This window comes from Homo sapiens, chromosome 1 (genome assembly GCF_000001405.40).
Source record: "Homo sapiens chromosome 1, GRCh38.p14 Primary Assembly".
Classification (NCBI taxonomy): Eukaryota; Metazoa; Chordata; class Mammalia; order Primates; family Hominidae; genus Homo; species Homo sapiens.
The window spans coordinates 18,095,632-18,114,662 of record NC_000001.11 but is presented as its reverse complement, the minus strand read 5'-3'; the positions used below and the strand labels follow the sequence as shown (position 1 = coordinate 18,114,662).

The window sequence follows — 19,031 nt, the reverse complement described above, 5'->3', positions numbered from 1 at the left end:
GAAGTGTTTTGTGCATTTTCAAGTACTGCCAGCAGGTAGAGAGTTAAGATATCTAGTCAGGGCCTCTGCTACTTTATCTGAGAAACTGCAGAAAGAAAGAATGTAGTTCCAGGATCAGAACATCTTTGCTGCCAGGAAGTCCACCTGCAAGTCCAGCCTCAATTCCACATGCTATAAGCCTTTTCACACAATTTTCCATAGAAATAGAAAGCCACATGCTCAGTCTTTTTCAAAACCAGGTTGCACATGTCGCAAGGCCAGAGGTAGCCTAATCACCCAAACAAACAACCTGACTGAGCACCTGCTATGTGTTTTGTGGAGGACTCAACAGTGAACAGAACCAGATGGGGTCCCTGCCTGGGTGGAGCAGGGTCTAGTGGGTCAGGGGATTGGAAGTTCACTATAAGATTGGCCTCCATCTGTACATTTTACTAGCGGGGAACAACTTGAGTCTCACACTGCACTCAATGGGCCTCAAGACTCCAGGGAAAGACAGAGGGCAGGCGGTGGGATTGGTCACCCCCAGCCAGAGGGCCATGAACCATCCTCTGTGCATTACCAAGAGTGCACTGACTGGCAACTCCAAGGCTGGCACTGGTCATCACACCTAGAGAGGTTATCACATGGGATCCTTTCCTTGCAAGCAGCAGAAATTGACACTAGACTCTCAAGCCAAAAAATGTAACCAATGAGAACACTACGAAAAAGTCGAGTAACGCAAGGACTGGGGCTGCTTCAGCGGGTACTCATCGTTACCATGGTTAACACTAGTAACAAGCATCAGAGCCCACGGGACTGAGCTAAGAGCTCTGCTTGTAATGCCTGATTCCACCCTCTCAGTACACTGGGAGATAGGTCCCATCATTATCAGTCTCAGGAAACCAACAAAGGACGGTTTCCTGGGGGTCCCAGGGGCAAGGGGGACATTCTAGTGTCTCTCAGTCTTTGTGACACTCCGCTCAATATTCAGATTCCAGGGCCCATCTTGGGGATGCCTTACCCAGTAGTTTCACCCACCAAGATGTCATGCAATTTATGTGTTGGGTGGGGTGGGGGTGGGGTGCGGGGTTGGTGTGATTTCCCAAAGCAAATTTAGTATGTGGCCAGAAGATGTAACAAAGGCTGGTGGAAAAACCAAACACCAGATTCCTTTCCTGGGAGGGGACTAAAGTCTGGGTCTCAGAAAAACCCCACCCCCAAGCCACACCCTGCCCACGACCTGTCTCTCCTGCTCTTTTGGGCTGCAGAGGTGACTGAACAGGGCCTGCATCTCCAGCCCCATACACACTACCTTTATTGCTCCATCCATGGAATCTTAGCCGGGGGTCTTAGTGAACATGAGCCCCCTCCACTCCTGGAGCTCACTGTAGCATAAAGGTGGGTTCCAGGATCTCACCACCCCAATCTTCCCTGGAATTTCATCCTAAAGAAGGACACCTCCTAGGAAGTGATCTCATGTGTTTTACCACCACTGACATTTATCATTTGAAATGAACAGCTTTGCAGCCTCCTACAAGTAGTAAGGGCTGCTGTACTCCCTTTCCAGTGATGAAAAAGCAGCTGTCTCTGGATTGCTTCAGACCTGGTTTTGAAACTCCCAGTTCCTCCACTTACAAAAGATCCTGAACCTCCTTTTATTTAAAAAGAAAAAAGAAGGCAAAAAGAAAAAAGAGAGGAAGGGAACAGGAGTGGATGGGGGAGGAAAGGAGGTGGAGAGGGAGGATGGACAAAATAGATTGTCGTTCATCTTTTCGGAAACATGCCCAGTCTCTCGCTGCCCTGGGATGAGGATCACACTCATAGGCCTTGCTCTTTTCACATGTGCCCTGCCCACAGCAGATGCCTATTCATTCTCTTGGTGATGGCAATAGCTTTCAGGGACACTCCCTCTCCCATCTGTGCAGATGAACACCCTGGATGATTCTATTTCAGTGTGGGTTTGGGAAGGAGTCAGGCATCCAGACAGGAGACTGGACACATCCATGTGGCTGGGGCTCAGGAAATGATCACCAGGAGACAGCAGAGCATGGAGGGAGGAAGCACAGGCCAGGGAGTCAGAGGGCCCTGTATCTGAATTCCTGCTTGCCATTCAATGACTCTGCAGCCTTGGCAAAGTCACCTAGCCTCTCTGAGCCTCAGTTTCCTCATCTACAAAATGGACTTCATTTTACTTCTCAGGGTGCTTGTAAGGATTCTGTAAGACAAGAAAGATAAAGCACATGGCGTGACACCTAGCTCAGTTAGGGCCAGAGAGAGATAATAGCCCCTTCCTCCCTCTAAATGAAGCATCAATTTCCCACTGAGCCTTAAACACCATAGAGGCAGGGGACTCCTCTACCAAGCTCAGGGCCGTTTTCCCAATGCTCAGCACCGTGTCTGGCACATAGTGTACAATAAGCATTTGTTGGATGCATGAATAAATGAATTCCTGGTGGCCTGGGGCTATAGCGGAGGCGGGCAAGGTGGTAAGCCAGGCTGTCAACTGCCTAGGTTAAATACCTCTACAGATCCCAGGAAACCCAGTTAATAGAACTAAACAGCCTCTATTTTGTCGGTCTCTGCCTTTGAAGTCACACACCACTATAAACCAGGCACCTAACTAAGCAAGTCCCCTAAGCTCCTCCACCTCCTTCCCCTACTCCGTCCTCTGCCCATCTTGCCAGAGTGTAGTGAAGTTCAAGTGTGTCTGTGACTGACGTTCTGAAATATCAGAGTAGCAGGCAGATCTGAGGCATCACTCAGATGACCTGGGTCCTTCTCTACTCACATGCCCTGCCCAAGGGATTCTTTGCGGCCAGAGAGAGGAAAGGAAGATTCAGCGGAAAGAGGAGCCTGGGGCAGAACTAGGAGGGAGCGGAAGGAGCCTGTACTTCTGTCATTAACAAGTCTTAAACCTCAGAACCTCAGTTTCCTAATCTGTGAAAAGAAGGTCTTAAATCTATCTTGCAGCATGAATGAGGACTGCGAAGCAGCAGCCAGCATCCTGCTTGACACATCGCAGCTGATCCATATAATCGGGGCTATTGGAAAAACAAAACCCCAGCTACAATACTAGCTGCGGAGGAAGGGAGCAGTCTTGAGGTTGTGAAAGACTTGTGTGGAAGGAGCGCTCGATGTGGGCCTCATCCCCAGCATCCACCAGGGCAGCTTTACTTTAAGATCTATCATCTTGCTCAAGGTATTGGGATTTTAGGAGGGTGATAATGTTTCCTCTAAAAGGGTTTTCCTACTTAAAAGAAAAAGAAAAACACACAAGTTTCAAAACCACCGAAGTGAGTGATCTCCGAGGTCGCTCCAGCTCGAATATTCTCTGCACTTAAAACACGAAAATGAAAAACTCCCATTTGCAGAGCGGTTATGGGGTGGAAGAGGGGTGGAGTTTATGGCTAGGGGCGGGGCCACGCTGGAGGGGCATGGGCGAGGCAGCCTGCAAGGGATTAGGGCCCTTAACTCCCCCAGTTGGGGCTGGAGAAGAAACCCTGCCGCGCCAGAGGCCCCGCCCAGTGGGAAGGGGGCGTGTGAAGGGAGGATAAATATATAAAGTCGTCACACCCGCTCGCGCGCGCACAGCCCCCGCAGTCTCGGCGTTGCGGTTGCGGCGGCCTAGCGGAGACAGCCCCTCCATCCCATCCACCTGCTGACACGCGGCTGCGGAGACAGAGAACCCGAGAACCCGAGAACCCGCAGGGCCGCCCACCTCCGCCCGCGCAATCCCGGAGACCCCCGGCTGGGGCCGTGGGCTACCCCTAACTGGGGCTGCCCCCACCCTGCTCTCAGCGGAACGTTTCCCAGGGCTGAACAGCGGCTAAGGACCACTCCTCCATCCCCAGCCCGGCGCCACTGCACAGGCTCCAGTGCAGGACTTCCCAGAAGTGCCCAGGCACGGTTCACGGGGGCTGGAGGAGTTGAAAACGCCCCAGGACACGCCCAGGAGTCCCGAGAAATGTGGGTTTCTCCTTTGGAGGGTCTGATTCTGGGAAGTGGGGAGCCAGGGCAAGGACTTCCGGCCCAGCCAGTGCGAGGGGCAGCGGCCTCCTTCCTCCTGCCAGACCCGACTCTCTAGCGTCGGGCACCCTTGCTCTGCCACCCAAAGGGGCAGAACCGGCGAGGGCGTTCTGGCCGTGCCCCTCCCCGAGCAGTGACCGCCAGTACGTTCGTGAAGGCCGGCGCGGGTTGCTCCTCTCTGCGCCCTCGGAGGCAGGTGGCCCTGCAAAGCCGCTGCCAGGTGCACCTCTCTCGGCCACCTCCAGGAAGGGCGCCCTCCTCCGGCACAGCCCGCCTCTTGCGTCTCTCACGGACTCTTCTCGCACCCCGCCCCCCATTCTGGGCACAGACTTGGAAGGAGGAAGGAGGGACCCCACCCTCGTGTGCTCTCCTCTGCGGAGAAGAGAGGGCTCCCGGCTGCCTCGGATCTCCCTCTGCGCCCCAGACGCGGAAAGTTTCCCATTCGCGATCCGCGTCTGCGCTCTTCCTTCATCCTGAGCAGCGGAGCTCCGAGGCCGCGCTGGCTGCACCGGCCCAGATGCGCTCACCCTCAGGCACGCCAACCCCCGCCTCCCGCAGCCCGCAGAGGCGGGCAAAGGGATTTGAGGCGTCAGGATGCCGGGTCAGCTCTCTGCAGCCGGGCAGCCAGAAGAACCCTGCTCCCGGGTTCCAGGGAGAGCTCGCAGGGTGGGGTCCTGACGGAGCCAGGGTTTCCCAACAAGCCCTTCTCATCAGTCCTCTCCTTCACCCTGCCGCGTCTCTCTGTTCTGCGCATTCCCAGGGAAAGGGGTGCTTACCTTAGGTCCCCAGCCTCCAACCCCCGCCCCCTGCAATGTCCAGGTGAGGGCTCCAGTGCCTTTCAACAAACCCCAGTGCCCTCTCGGCGGCGCTGGAACGAGGACCTCCCCCATGTAACCTTTCCCTCTAGAGCCCTCCTCCCAAAGTTGAGGGGGGACATTTTGATCCACTTAGGAAAGTCTCTTGTTCCAAGGGTAGGGGAACAAAGTACAGGGTTTGCATTCCTTCTGGGTTACACCAACCCCTCCCCCCTCGCTGTCAGGACCACCTTCCGGGCTCAAATTCTGCAGCTTCTCCCATCAGCAGACCCAGCACTCCCCAAGGACTTCGGGGTAGAAGGAGTTGGGGTTATTTTTAAGGGGGCACCCCTTCCTGGCAGGCACTCTCAGAGCCTAGGTAGGCACCTCCTGCTGGGACAAGGCTATGGCATAGGACAGAGGTGATGCCCACCTCTATCATCCAGTGGGGCTCGGGGTCGAGACCTTATTGATCATAAAGACGACTTTTTGGCACCTCGCGTCCCGCTCCCCTCCGAGGCGGAGCCAGGCTCTGACTCCAGCCAGGCTGAGGTTGGCACCAGGCTCCGAGGAGGATCCCGGACGCGGAGCCTGTAGTCTCGGTGCCTGCGGCTCTTCGCTGGTCCCGCCTCCCTCCCTCCTGGCTTTTAGCCTCACGTTGGCTCTCTGCTCACTGCGCGAAAGGGTTCAGCTCCATTTAAGACCCACTACGCGGCGGCACTGGGTGGGAGGCCGGCCGCGGACCCTGGGGCTGCGGAGCCACCTCTCACTGGCTCCGGAGAACCCGCTCGGCTTCAACCTCCTTCTAGCTGTCTTAGCCTAACCCGGGAGCAAGTCCACACGGCGGGACACACACACACACACACACACACACACACTGAGCTGCTCACAACTCCCCAGCCCCGGAAGCGTCCATACCTCCCTGCACACGATAACCACACGCTCCATGGCACGCATACACACACTCCCAGCCCCATGAAGCCCACGACTCCCAGGCACCTGCACCCCCACCCATCCCACATAAGCAGACTCTTGTCCAGTGTCACAGTCCCATCTCCTGTGCACACAGAAATAGTAATCCGCTGTCGTACACCCCTAGAGACCTGCACACTCGGGACACACGTGAAACGCCAAACCTCACATACCCACCCCCTAACACCTCACACCCACAGTGACACAAGCTCACACACTTCACACCCTCACAGGGAAGGTGGCACATGTTCACACCCTCCCCCCAACATTCGCTCACACTCTCACACACACACCTTCTCCATGTAACTGACACAGACACTCTAACACCCATCCAGACCCTCGCTCACTCACACGCAGACCCCACACCATCACACACACACGCACACACACACTTGCATCTCTAAATACACTCCCGCACCTTCTGCCCACACAGCTCCTTCCCGGACACCCTCACCCAGACACACAACAAAGACACACAATTTACACACACACACACACCCTGGCACAAATCCATGAGCGCTCTCCAAGAGGCGTCCTCCCTCCCTCATCGAGCCAACCAGCTCCACAGACCCCGGGCAGGACCGGTGCTCGTAGCCCGAGCCTCTCGGAGCGACCCCGGCCAGCGCCCTCCCCCGGCACCCCGTCCCCGCGCACGTTCACCGCTCGGCTCCCGCCAGGCGCCCGCGCACTCACCGCGCGCCAGGTCCAGGATCGCGGCGAGCAGCAGGCAGACGCAGCGGCGGAGGCTCGGGGCGGTTCGCATGGTGCCCGGGAGCTGGCGGCGGTGGCGGGGCGGCGGGGGTGGAGGCGGTGGCGGCGGGTCCCCTCGCCATGGGCTCAGACGCGCTCCTGCCTCCGGCCACTGGCCGAGGCGGTGGCGGGCAGCGCGGAGAGCCGCGGGGGCGCCCCCATGCCGCCGCGGCCAGGCAGCCCGGGCGCCCGGCTCGACTCGGCTCCGGCTCTGCGAGGCGCAGCGACCCTCGCGCTCTGGGCGTCCTCGGGGCTCGCCGCGGTTCTCGGCTCCCTAGCTGCGCGCGGTGCCCACCGCGGCCCAGAGTCCGATCGGCTGCAGCGCCGGAGTTTGGAGCCGAATCGCGCTCTCTGCCTCGCGCTCGCCTCTCCCGGCGGCGCGAGCACCCCCCTCCTCTCGCCCTCCCTCCGTCCCTCCCCCTCTCCCCGCCCCCCCGCCCTCCTTGCCCTCCCCTCGCCGCGCTCTCCGCGTATTATACAGACTTTTCTTTAATCCTTTCTGGGCTGTTCGGCTCTCGTCCGCTAAGCCGATTTATTGCAGGGAGAAGGAGAGCTCACCCCCTCCTAACCTCCCCTCTCCCCTCACTCAGGTCCCCCCTCACTCAAAACTGGCTTGCTGCCTCCAGCTTCTTAACCCTTACCCAGGTGACCCAACACCCCGCCCTGGAAGCTATGCTCCATCGGATCCGCCTTTACCTAGCCCCTCCTATCCCCGGGATTACCATCGCCCTCCCCGCTACTCAGCCTGATGAAAGGAGGCAGCCTCCCTCCCGAGAGGGAAAGATGCCATCCTGGGAGCAGGGCAGGCAGGGTGTGGCTCTGGAGTTCTGACCTTGCCAACGATGAATGCCCTCATTGGGCAAGATTAAGGGGTTTCCATGTTCTGAAACTTCCCCAATTACGGCTGCTCCTTCCCCCAGGGACCCACGGAAATGGGGTGTGTTCTGTCTTTTTCCCATGTGCTAGGATCCAGCCAGGAAGGGTGAGGAACTGATTGTTTCCTCCTGGCAGAGACCAAGTTTCCACCTTTTTGCCAGACCTGACAGCTTTTCTTCCCAGGTCCGAGAAGAACAGGTTTGGGACTTGTATGTTACCATTACTCTCCCACCAACACACACGCGAGCACACACACACACACACACACACACACACACACACCATTGAGCCTCAGCCCTGGCGGTGGACTTTGAGGCCTCCTGCGAGGATGAAGGGGAGGGGTACTCTAGCCCTTGGAGTGGACTGGGGATGTGGTTAGATGAGGAAGTTCAGGAGATAGAATTTCACCATTGGTAGGGACCCAGAAGATTGGCAAAGCCCAGAAAAACCAGCACGACCAGGGGCAAAACCTGCTCAGAACTCAGGTGGGTCCCTTTACCCAGGCCTTCTATGGAGAATCTCCAGCTTCCCTAGCTCTGGCAGGTTGCTGAGTCAGGCTGTTGCATCGTTTACCTACATGGGCAATGGGTCTATAGCCAGTTCCATCTCCAGCAGCCCTCTGAGAGGAGTGTAGGGAGTGGGGTGGGCAATGGGTGGTTGCTGGGCTGCCTCTGGGTGAGCTTTGTGCAGAGATGTCCATGAAAGTGAACTGCTCCCTCCTCCTGCCCTCTGGAACCTCACCCCATCGCCTCCCAAGGCAGCTCTGCGGCTCAGCTTGCTCACCCACCCCAGAAGGAGCGATTTGCATTTATGAAGATCTGAAAGCATACGTTCACCTGACAGGCTTTAGAATGATCCTCTCAGTAAAATAATAATAATGATCATAATAAACCCTTATAAATAGGTGTTTGATTACAGTTTGTCCCTAAGTGGGATTTTTTTTTTTTTTTTTTTTTTTTTTTTTTGTGAATCAGACTAATTGGTTCCAGGTTGATTGGACTGCATATGGCTTGAACACTTGATGAACACTGGAGTCTTAGGTCCTTTCTTCTCCCTTTGGCTGCTGTTCTTTGCTCCCTCTCACTCGCATCCACCCAGGTCTCCCCTTCTCCAGGCTGCTGAGGGTCAGCTTGAGGTCACCTCTCCCCCTCACCTTCTTCTCAGGCTGCAGGGCACAGTCCCTTACTGCCTCCTCCCTGGCCCTCCCTCCCCACTCTGACCCAAGAAAAAGTCAACAAACCCAAAAGTCCATCCCAGGTTCTAAATCCTCTGTGGAAGGGGCTCCCTGGCTGGGGAACAGCATCAGGTTCATGCGGTTCCTTGTGCTGGTCTGAGTTGTGCAGGGAAATGCCAAGCATCGCTGTGTGGGCATTCCTACTCTCTGGCCCCAGCTGCAAATCGGCGTGCAGCTAGGCAGGTGGACAGCATCAGTTCCTCAGGTGAACCCTGAATTGGTGGGGCTTCCTGGCTGCGCTCCCTGCAGCCCAGCCCTTGGAGATGAGGGCCAGGGAGCAGGTGGGATTCCAGGGCCCCTTAGTGATGTTTCTTCCCAGCCATGGTTCACACCAGCTAGAAAAGAGAGCCAGCAGAAGGAGCTAGAGAATGGCATCTGAGGATATGCTAGTGAGGAGGAAAGCAGGCCTAACAGCCAAGGGAGGGTTGCTTCCTAGGACCAAGGATTGGGGCTGGTGTGTTGGAGATCTCCTTCAGCCCCAAGACTTCTGAATCACCTCAATTCTCTTTAACATCACCCTGTATTATAATTATTATTATGCCTAGCCAGTGCCTGACACATAGTGGATCCTCAATAAATACCAGTTGGATGAATGCGTGAATGAATGAATGAATGAATGAATGAATGAGGGTAGGTCATTCAGTCTTATCCACTCTGTTCCTCAGCTCCTTGCACAAGTCTGGCACTTGGTAGGCGTCCTGTGGCAGTGAACCTCCTTGGAGCGCCAGGATCACATATTCTGACTGGGCCCATCAGAGAGGAGGTGTCTGCTCAGGTGCGCAGTTTGGTTTTGCCCAAAGGGGCCTGGCTGTGATGTGCATGTCTATGGCCATATGGTAACCATAGTGGTTAATACGGCTGCCTTCACAGGCCCCTCCAGGGAAGCCCACTCCTCCAGCTCCTGTTTCATAAGATATAGCTTTAAAGCCTTTCCTTTGTCCCAGAGAAAGACATCTCTGGAGCACTGAGAAGCACAGTTAGCAGAGGGCACAGGGTGGGGTGCCTTAGCCAAAGGAAAAGGTCACGCGGGACAGCCCTGGGGCTTTTAATTTGCTTAACATCCCTTGGCTCCTGTCTCCTAATGGATCGGCAGGGCCTCCACTTTGCAGTCCTGGCACTCAGACCCATGAGTCACGGCAGGACAGGCCTCTTCCTCGGACACTGGCTGAGCTGGAGTCCTTGGCGGAGGTGTGGCTGTTTGCCCCCAGCCTCCCTCTGTTCATGGTGCTGAGTTAGGCTCTCCCAACAGAGTGCACTACAGCACAAAGCAAACTTCTACTCCGCGGACCCCAGGGAATAGCCCCAGAGGTCAAAGGGCCCCTCTGTGACCTCTAGTCCCCACCCTCCCTGCCAGGAAAGGGGAGGGACGCAGCACATGACTGCCTACCCCAACCTGGCTCCCAAGGGAATGGGCTCTGCTGGTTTGCAGCAGGACACCCAGTGAGGTTCAATAATAAGAGTCTGAAGCACTTATGAAAGTGCCTCTTTGTGCCGGGTGCTGTGAAAGTATTTAATGTATATAAATTCATTGACACCACACAATAATGTATGAGGTGGGTCCCATCATTAGTCCTGTCTTACAGTTGGGAAAGCTGAGGCACAGAGAAGTTAAGCAACTTTCTCAGTACAATACAGCTATGAATAGGACCAGATTCCAACCTAGGAAGAGCTCAAGAACCAGAGTTCCCAAACACCTTACCTAGACACAGTACACCACACATACACACAGGCACACACATACAAGTGTACACACACACACACAAGTGTACACAGACACACACAAGTGTACACACATACAGCCACACACATAAGTGTCCACACACCAACACAGGCACAAGCAGAAGTGTACACACACAAACACAGGCACACACAAGCATACACACATACACACAGGCACACACACATGCCCACAAATGCCCACACACAGGCACACACACACAAATGTCCACACACACAGGCACACACATGTGTACACACACACATGTCCACATGCACATACAGGAACACACACACAAATGCCCACACACACACACACAGGGGCGCACACACACACACCCAGGCACACACACACAGACACGTGTCCTCACACACAGGCACGCACACACACGTGTCCACACACACATACAGGAACATACAACACGTGTCCACACACATACAGGAACACACAACACGTGTCCACACACATATATAGGAACACACACACACGTGTCCACACACACATACAGGAACACACACAGATGTCCACACACACATACAGGAACGCTCACATACAGGAACACACGCACACGTGTCCGCACACACATACAGGAACACACACACATGTCCACACACACAGGAACACACACACGTGTCCACACACATATACACAGACACACATCTTGGAAGCCAGTATTTGTATATAAAAACTCATGAATCCAGTGCGTTCCACCTCTCTTATCTCATTTAATCCTCCTGTAAGTCCTCTGTGGCAATTTCATTTATGTCTGGTTTACAGATAAGGAAACTGAGTCTCAGAGAAATGAAAATAATTACCCAAGGTGGCCAGGGTAGAGGATACTGGATTCTGGGGACAGGGATCTAGCGTGGACTTCCCCAGGCAGGCCCTGCCCCAGGGGTCCACATTTCTCTCCCTCTCTATCCTCCTCTCTCCCTCTCTCATCAACCCACTCCTGCAGTCCTCCGGCTTTCCTATCCTGCATTCTGCCTCTCTGTGCTGGGAATTAAACCTCCACCAGCCTCCATCGCAGTCAGGACAGAGCTTTTTATTGTTTGTTTAAATTAAATGCAACCGAAAGTGACATCTTAACACCAGTGACCCAAATTGATATGGAGTCAGCCACTTGGAATTAAGTCCAATGCTCCATCCTTAATGAACCTCAGCCCCACCTGGACTCTCAAGTTCCATCACATCTTCCCGGTAGAAGATGTCAGCAGGTGTGCGTGGGAATCTCGAGCTGTGGGCTGGGGAAGGGGCCTCAGCATTATGGGACCAGAGAAAAGGGATGGACCCAGGAGGACCATTGCTCCCCAAACTGGGTCTCACTGACCATTTGTTTTGCAGGTTTGTAATAAACATTTCTTGCAAGAGAGTTTCATGGCTAAATATATTCAAGAAGTGCTACAAACTCAGCTGTTCTCCACTTAGAAGTTTATAGTTCACGTGAGCCTATGAAAGGTTATGAGAAGTCCTGCAGTTTTTTGTGTTTGGCTTGTCTATGTTCATTTTCCAGTTTTATTTTGTTGAAGTCCACACTTGTTTGGCCTCAGAACCCTCTTTCCATTAATATCTATTAACATCGTGTGAGCAAGAGCTCTGGGAATCACAGGGTGGAAAATGCCGCTCTGGCCCTGAACAAGCCTCCTGATCTCTTCCTCGATATCATAGCAGTAGAAATAGTAATAATAATAACAACAACTACTGCCAATTGATGCCATTTATTGAGAGCTTACTATGTGCCAAGTGCTATACTTTGCTTGTACTATTCATTGAATTCTTTCCAGAATCTTGTAGGTCATTTCTGTGTTTAGACCATGGAATAAACAAGAATAATGAGACACTTAGAAATGCAAGCCCTGGCCTAAGGGCATAGAGTCAATAAGAGGTGAAGCTGGCATTTGAACCCAGATGATCTCTTCTAACTAGTCCCTGCTTCCAGACCCAGCCTCCCCAGTTCATCCACCCTGCTGCCGTTGGAGAGACCTTTCTCCTGCACGGTTCTCACCATGTCTGTACCTCAACTCCTCTGCTCTCTGTTTTCACAGCACTCCCTATTGTTGAAGGTCCAAGCTCTTTAGTATGCCCCTTTGGCTGCATCCTAAGCCCCCTCTGGTTTTGTCCCTCCTTCCCCTGCTCTCACTCACCTCATGCTCTGGATCATTCTATGTCCCTCCAACACTAGGGGTTTTGTTGCGTCTCTGCCTTTGCTGGTGCTGTTCTTCCTGTCTGATAGCCATCTCCCCTTCTCCAACCAACAATTCCCATTCATACATTAAGGCCAAGGTTGATAGTCACATCTGTTGGGAAGCCTTTCTTTCGCCTCCCTCAGAGTCAGGCGTAACTCACCTTTCCGATCACAGGCCAGCACCTATAACATTGTTTTATGGATCTGTGGGAATGTGACCAACATAAGGGTAGGGAACACAGCTGATTCATCTCTTTATTGACTGTGTCTGGCAGGTGGTAGGTGCTTAAGAAAGTGACTGTTGGATAAATGCAAGGAAGGAAGTTGGTTATGAGAATTACTGGGTGGGTGGATGAATGGATGGGTGGATGGATGTGAGAATGATTGTATGGATGGATATGGGAATCATTGGATGAATGGATGGATGGATGGGTGAGTGGGCAGATGAGTAATGGTAGGTGGGTGGGTGGGTTGACAGAAGGATTAGAGAAAGGATTGTTGGGTGGATAAGGGCATGGATGGAGGCATGGATAGATGAACCGAGGTTAGAAAGCATCAGCAAGATTTTTACTTTTTCCTGTATCGCTGCACTTGCTAAGTGTGAGACACATGGACCAACAGATATTAGTCATAGTTAGAACGTGCCAACAGATGTAGTCAAGTGTACCGGCTTAATGCATGGGCTCCAGAGTTGGCCTGCCTAGGCTCAAATCCCAGCTTCAGCACTCAAAAAAAAAATGACGGTTGGAAGGGAGGAAGGAAGGAAGAAAGGAAGAAAGGAAGGAAGGAAAGAGGGAAGGGGGTAGGTAGGGAGGGAGTTGCGAAGAAGGGAAGGAAGAAAGGAAGGAAGGAAGGGAGGAAAGAGGAAGGGAGGGGAGGGAGGGGAGGGAGAAGAAGGAGGGAGGGAGGGAGGAAGGAAGGAAAGAAAGGAGGAACTTCTGTAAGAACTTGTGCAAATTATTTAACGTTCCTGTGTTTCCATTTCCTCATCTGTAAAATGGGACTGGGTCTAAGAGTACCAACCTCATCAAGCTGTGTTGATTTATTAAGACAATGCTTCAAATGACATAAGCACCCAATAAACATTAGCTGTAACAACTCTTACTGAAAGCCAAGGCAGCCATACGATGCTGTAATTATCCCACACTGTGGCTCCTTCTTTTTGTCCTTAGCTTCCTGCATTCTTAAGTGGAGAGAGGTGGATAAAGACTCCCAGGGTCAAGATCTCAAGGGACTCAGATGTTGGCCATGACTCCAAATCAAAGAAAAAAGCCAATGGGAACAGAACCTGTGATTTGTTTTTCCTCTGTGGCATTTTCCAGCATTAGTCAGTCCATTCCTGGCTCTGGACTCTTGTCTCCACGATTGTCAAGACGGGGCTGGGATCTTCTGAGGTCACCCTTGGAGCGGCCTCTTTCCTCCTTTCCTGGACAAGCTGCAATATCACACATTGACAACAGGTGGCGCCATCGAATACATGATTTGTTCCGTTTTTACAACCTTTCAAGTTCAAGGGCCTATCTATATTCCGTAAAACCGAATCAGCTTCCTGTTTTACGAGTTCTTTAGGCTTTATTATATTTGCAGTGAGGCAGGCTATTACAAAACACAAATCCTTAAGCTCCTTAATTAGCCACAATTGTAGGATGGGTCCATAATACTATAGATGAGACCCAAAGCAAGACTGTCGGCTCCCTGCACTCTTGGAGGGGCATTTTGTCCCTCCTGCATAACGCAGCAATGCTCTCTTCGGTCGGTTCACGCATGTGTCTTGCCTCCCCAGGTAATAGTCCATGCTTTGGGAAGTCTGGGCCCATTTCACTTTGTTCCTTATTATCTTCCACACCTCCCCTCTCTGGCCTGGGTCACGTGGTTCTGGAGGAACCCGGAGCAAAGAAGGAAGGTCCGGCTAACCAGGCTCGTCACTCAGTTGGGAATGAAGAGGTATTTGTTACAAAAGGCCTCTGATTAATTACAAACGCCATCCGGCGAAGCCTGACAATTTCCTCAGCCTATTTTCCCTCTTGAGTTTCTAGGCCCTGAAACATTGTAGAAAATCCCCATTTGATTTATAAGATAGGGAAGTGATTTCATTTCTCTGGGCTTCACAGTTTTCATTTGTAAGAGGCAAAGGCTGGGCTGGCTTTCCGAGGCCCCTGAAAACCTATGGCTTGTCTGGGCACAAATCCACCTCCGCTTTCCTTCTCTTCATCTCTTCCTTCCTGTGCCACTATGGAAGCGATTACTCTGCACCTGGCACTGAGCTAGGACTTGGGAGACTGGCTTTCTGGAGGAGGTGAGACCTAAAGCTCTGAAGGATGCCCAAGTTAGCCAGGGAAAGAAAAGCTTTGGGGGCAGAGCTGCATGTGCAATGCCTTACAAAAGCATGCAGCAGAGATTGCCTTCCAGGAGAGAGCAGGTGGTCCAGGAAGGCTGGAACTAGGTGGTGTAGGGGGAGGAGGCTGTGAGGTTAAGCAGGATTATTGTAAACCACACAGGGCTGATGAAGGACAGTGCAGGAACAATGAAAACTGCATTGAACAAATGAGTGAGATGCACATGCCAGTTTGAGATTTGGTGACTCTCGACATTAGATCCTTCTGTACCGACCAGTTCCTTCTCAGCCCCAGAAGATGCTTCGTCATCCTTGGAGCCCTGACATCTCCACCAAGGTGCTCTTTTTCTTCCTCCTTTCTCTCTGTACTACTGATTGAAGACGAAGCAATCCCATACCCCTGCCGGTCACCTAACACTATCTCCCCTCCCTGACTTCCTTGTGTTGACTTCCACCCATGCTCAGCCTCCTGTCCTGCTCTCCATTGACCCTGGCAAGAGGATGATCCTACAAGGAGGCAATTGATGAATCAGACTGGAATGTTTCCCTGGAATGAAAGGCTATTGGGAGGCACATAGGGAAAATCACTTACCTTTCAAAGCTATCTTTTCCTGAAAAGAGTGCTAATGGACTGCTAGCACTGGGAACATAGAGGCATTGTTCATGCTTTTAATGACTTCAAAGGAAGGTGCCTAGGCACTGGGGGCATGGCAGCTGAGAGGCATAGGCTCAGCCCAATCCCTAACAGCATTACACCAGGGTCCCTAAACAAGTGGTTCTAGTGGATCACTGCTACTGCTGAGGGTTCGAATAACACACATGTTTATTGGGCTTCTCTGGACCAGGCACTGAGCTGGGTACAAGGGACACAGAAGCAAAAGGACATGGTTTGTGCCCTGAGGAGCACACAGTTGGCAAGTGTTGGTACAGAATCAAGACCACCTGAGTGCCAACATCTCAGGGCAGACAGCCTGTCTCTGCTCACCAGATCTCGTTGCCAGCAGAGCTGTACCCACTGCCTGATCCACTTACTTTCTGCTTCCCAGATGCCTCTCTCAGGCTCCTTCCCTCCTGCTGTGTCCCCAGACCTCACCTCACTCAGGCCTCCACATAAAGGAAGGACAGTTGAGCCTCCCCAGAACTGACATCTGCTCAATTCCTTGGACCTCATTTTCTGTACAAAGCACCACCCTCAACTATCCACATCCAGGTTACCTGGGTATACCCAGGGTTACAAGCTGATCAGGTTAGCCCCCTTAAAATCCTTCACTGGCTCCTCAGGGCCTGTACACTAAAGCCAGCATTCCTGGAATGGTTTACAAGGGTCTTCAGCTCTATCCTGGGTTCACTTCTGCAGCTTTGTTCACATGTTCAGTTCTCAGAGTTCACGAAGCTCTCTCTCTTGATTGCAGACCTTTCTACATGCTGCCCCCTCTGCTGAGATAGCCATCCAAGCTCCCCTCCCTCTCCCATCTCCCCTACCCTGTCCCATGCACCCCACACACATCCTTTAAGCTGGCTAATTTCTGCTCCTGCTCCAGAGCTCAGCTTTCTTTGTCATAGTTCAGGAAGCCTACATTGGATGCCTTCTCTTGGCCTTTTCAGCCTCTGTGCTTGCACCAGGGGATTAAGACTATAGTGGTCAGATGGGCAAAGTACAGGGTGGGTGTATTAGTCCATTTTGTGTTTCTATAAAGGAATACCTGAGACTGGTAATTGATAAAGAAAGAGGTTTATTTGGCTCATGGTTTTGGGGGCTGTACAAGCATGGCACCAGCATATGCTCAGCTTCTGGTGAGGCTTCAGGAAGCTCTTACTCCTGGTGGAAGGTAGAGGGGGAGCAGGAGTGCCACATGGCAAGAGAGGGAGCAAGAGAAAGAGGAGGAGGTGTCAGGCTCTTCTTAACAATCAGATCTCACAGTAACCTCAAGAGGTAGACCTCACTCACTACTTCAGGGAGGGCACCAAACACCTCCTATTAGGCCCCACTTCCAACACTGAAGATCAATTCCAACAAGAGATTTGGAAGTGACAAATATCCAAAATATATCAGGGAAGAAGAAAGGAGAAGGGAAAGAGGGAGAGAGGAAAGAAGAAAGAAAGAAAGAAAGAAAGAAAGAAAGAAAGAAAGAAAGAAAGAAAGAAAGAAAGAAAGAGAGAAAGAGAGAGAGAGAGAGGGAGGGAGGGAGGGAGAAAGGGAGGGAGAGAGAAAGGGAGGGAGAAAGGAGGGAGATAGGGACTGGGGAGGAAGAGAGAAAGGGAAAGAAGGAAAGAAGGAAGGAAGGGAAGAAAGAAAGAGAGAAAGAAAGAGAGAGAGAGAAAGAAAGGAAAGAAAGAAAGAAAGAAAGAAAGGAGGGAGGGAGGGAAGAAGGAAGGAAGAAAGGAAGGAAAGAAAGAGGGAGAGAAGGAGGGAGGAAGGAAGAAAGGAAGGGAGGAAGGAAGGAAACAAGGAGGAAAGGAAGGAAGGAAGAAGGGAGGGAGGGAAAAGAGGACAGGCAGGAGCAGAAGTCTAAATGTACAGCAAGGCTCAGCACCAGAAATCAGAACAAAGTCAAGGAACCATTGAAAGGTTGCCATGGCCAGAAAAGAAGCTCAGCTTCTTCTGAGAATGGCACCTTTCTTAGCTACAGCCTTGACCGGACAGGAGCAAAGTTGCTGGTCCTCACTCCAAGAGGTCTTAACTCACGAACGCCTCCTGGGACCTTCCTTTAAAGGAAGAAATGGTGTTTGGTGGCACATTGGGTTTTGGAGGGCAGAAGGCTGGAGCCCACATACCTGCAGGCAGCTCCCAGGGAGTGGGGTTCAGGGGTCTGTAAAGAGATGGATGCTGAGGGGCCCGTGCACTCCTTTAGCTGGTACCGTCCTCCCTGGCAGGACCAGCTCTCCATCCCAGGGAGGCCAAGGGAGTCCCCGGTGCCCAGGGACCCACAGTCTTCCTGGCTCCTACTTCCACGTCCAGCACTTACTCGCCAAGATAATTAAATTCCACCTCCCTCCAGCTGCCCCCTTGCAATGTCAGGAGGGACACACGCCTCTCCTTGAGAGCCGCTCCTTGCCTCTGTTCCATAAGCCCCGTATTTCACACCCCGAGTGGCTGCATTTCAGCGGTGGGTGAAGTGGTTTTACTTTTATCGTGCACGCAGGCATATAAATATGTACGAGCAGCTCAGAAGAACTTTAGGGTCTCTCTGGAAGGAAGGCTCAGTATGAGTGTGAGGGAGCATGGTAATTAGTTCATCCAGGGCATGGGCTCTGCTGGGTACGAAGGTGCCTCTCCTGGCCTGGCAGCATCCCTGGCCCCATCTCCTGAGAATGATGTCTACCCTGATACACTCCTGAGAACAGGGTGAGGCCTTGGCAAACTTTCCATAACAAAGCTTAAAAACAAAACAAAAGCAAACAAAAGCACCCTGATCTGGGTTCCCACCTTAACTCAGCCACTTCCTGGCTCTGTGACCTTGGATGAGGTCCTTGCCCTCGCTGGGCCTTCGTATCTCTATCTACAAAGTGGAGTTAAATGTGCCTTCCCTGGAAGCCTCCCAGGTTTTTTTTCCTTAAGGAAGAAATATGACGAAGAATTTGTATATTACTCTGAGAACAGTAATATACAACTGGAAAAGGCCTATCATTATTCCTCCCCAGTCATTCATTTGGAGCAGGTGAGAGACAGTACAAGGCCGCATCTAGTAATGCAAACAATGGCTGCTCCAGGCATTGCAGGTTTCCTCACCTGTCTTAGAAAGGAGGACAGGAAATAGCATTCATTGACCTCCAGCTCCAGGGCTGGGTGCTTTACATAGATAATCACATTTGAACATGACAGTAAGGCAGTGCAAGGCATGTTATTACTGTTTACTGATGAGGAAAACTGAAGTTCAGAAAGGGTAAGGAATTAGTGCCAGGCCACAAGGCTATGGAGTGGTCCAGCCCAGGTTTGACGGCAGGTGAGGGTGACACTTCTCTAGCTGGCCTATAGAGTTGCTGTCTCAGGTGCCTGCTTTCCACAAGGGATGGTCTGTGTGCTCCAGTCAGAGGATGTGCCGTACTGTGCTGAGTCCCCCAGAGCAGCCCCACAGTGACGCTGGCTGAAGAGCAAACACATGGTCTGGAAGAAAGCTCATTAGGCCAATGCCCCCTCTGAAAGCTGCATCCCAGCAACCCAG

General features: G+C 52.5%; 1 protein-coding gene across 2 annotated transcripts in view, besides 1 other annotated feature; it reads right to left on the bottom strand.

Annotated features, from left to right (window-relative positions):
* IGSF21 (immunoglobin superfamily member 21) overlaps positions 1 to 6,865 on the bottom strand; it is a 270,686-nt gene extending 263,821 nt beyond the window's left edge. For both annotated transcript variants that reach the window (NM_032880.5, XM_011542319.4), the window contains exon 1: positions 6,465 to 6,865. In NM_032880.5, the coding sequence (NP_116269.3) occupies positions 6,465 to 6,534 (70 nt within the window). In that variant the 5' untranslated portion in view covers positions 6,535 to 6,865. The remainder of the gene's footprint in view (positions 1 to 6,464) is intronic.
* Positions 15,217 to 15,739: an enhancer, noted in NCBI's record as "NANOG hESC enhancer chr1:18425418-18425940 (GRCh37/hg19 assembly coordinates)". NCBI's record gives its function as "activates a minimal SCP1, AML or CMV promoter by ChIP-STARR-seq in naive H9 embryonic stem cells {active_cell/tissue: H9 hESC(naive)}" and the evidence as "EXISTENCE:reporter gene assay evidence [ECO:0000049][PMID:30033119]".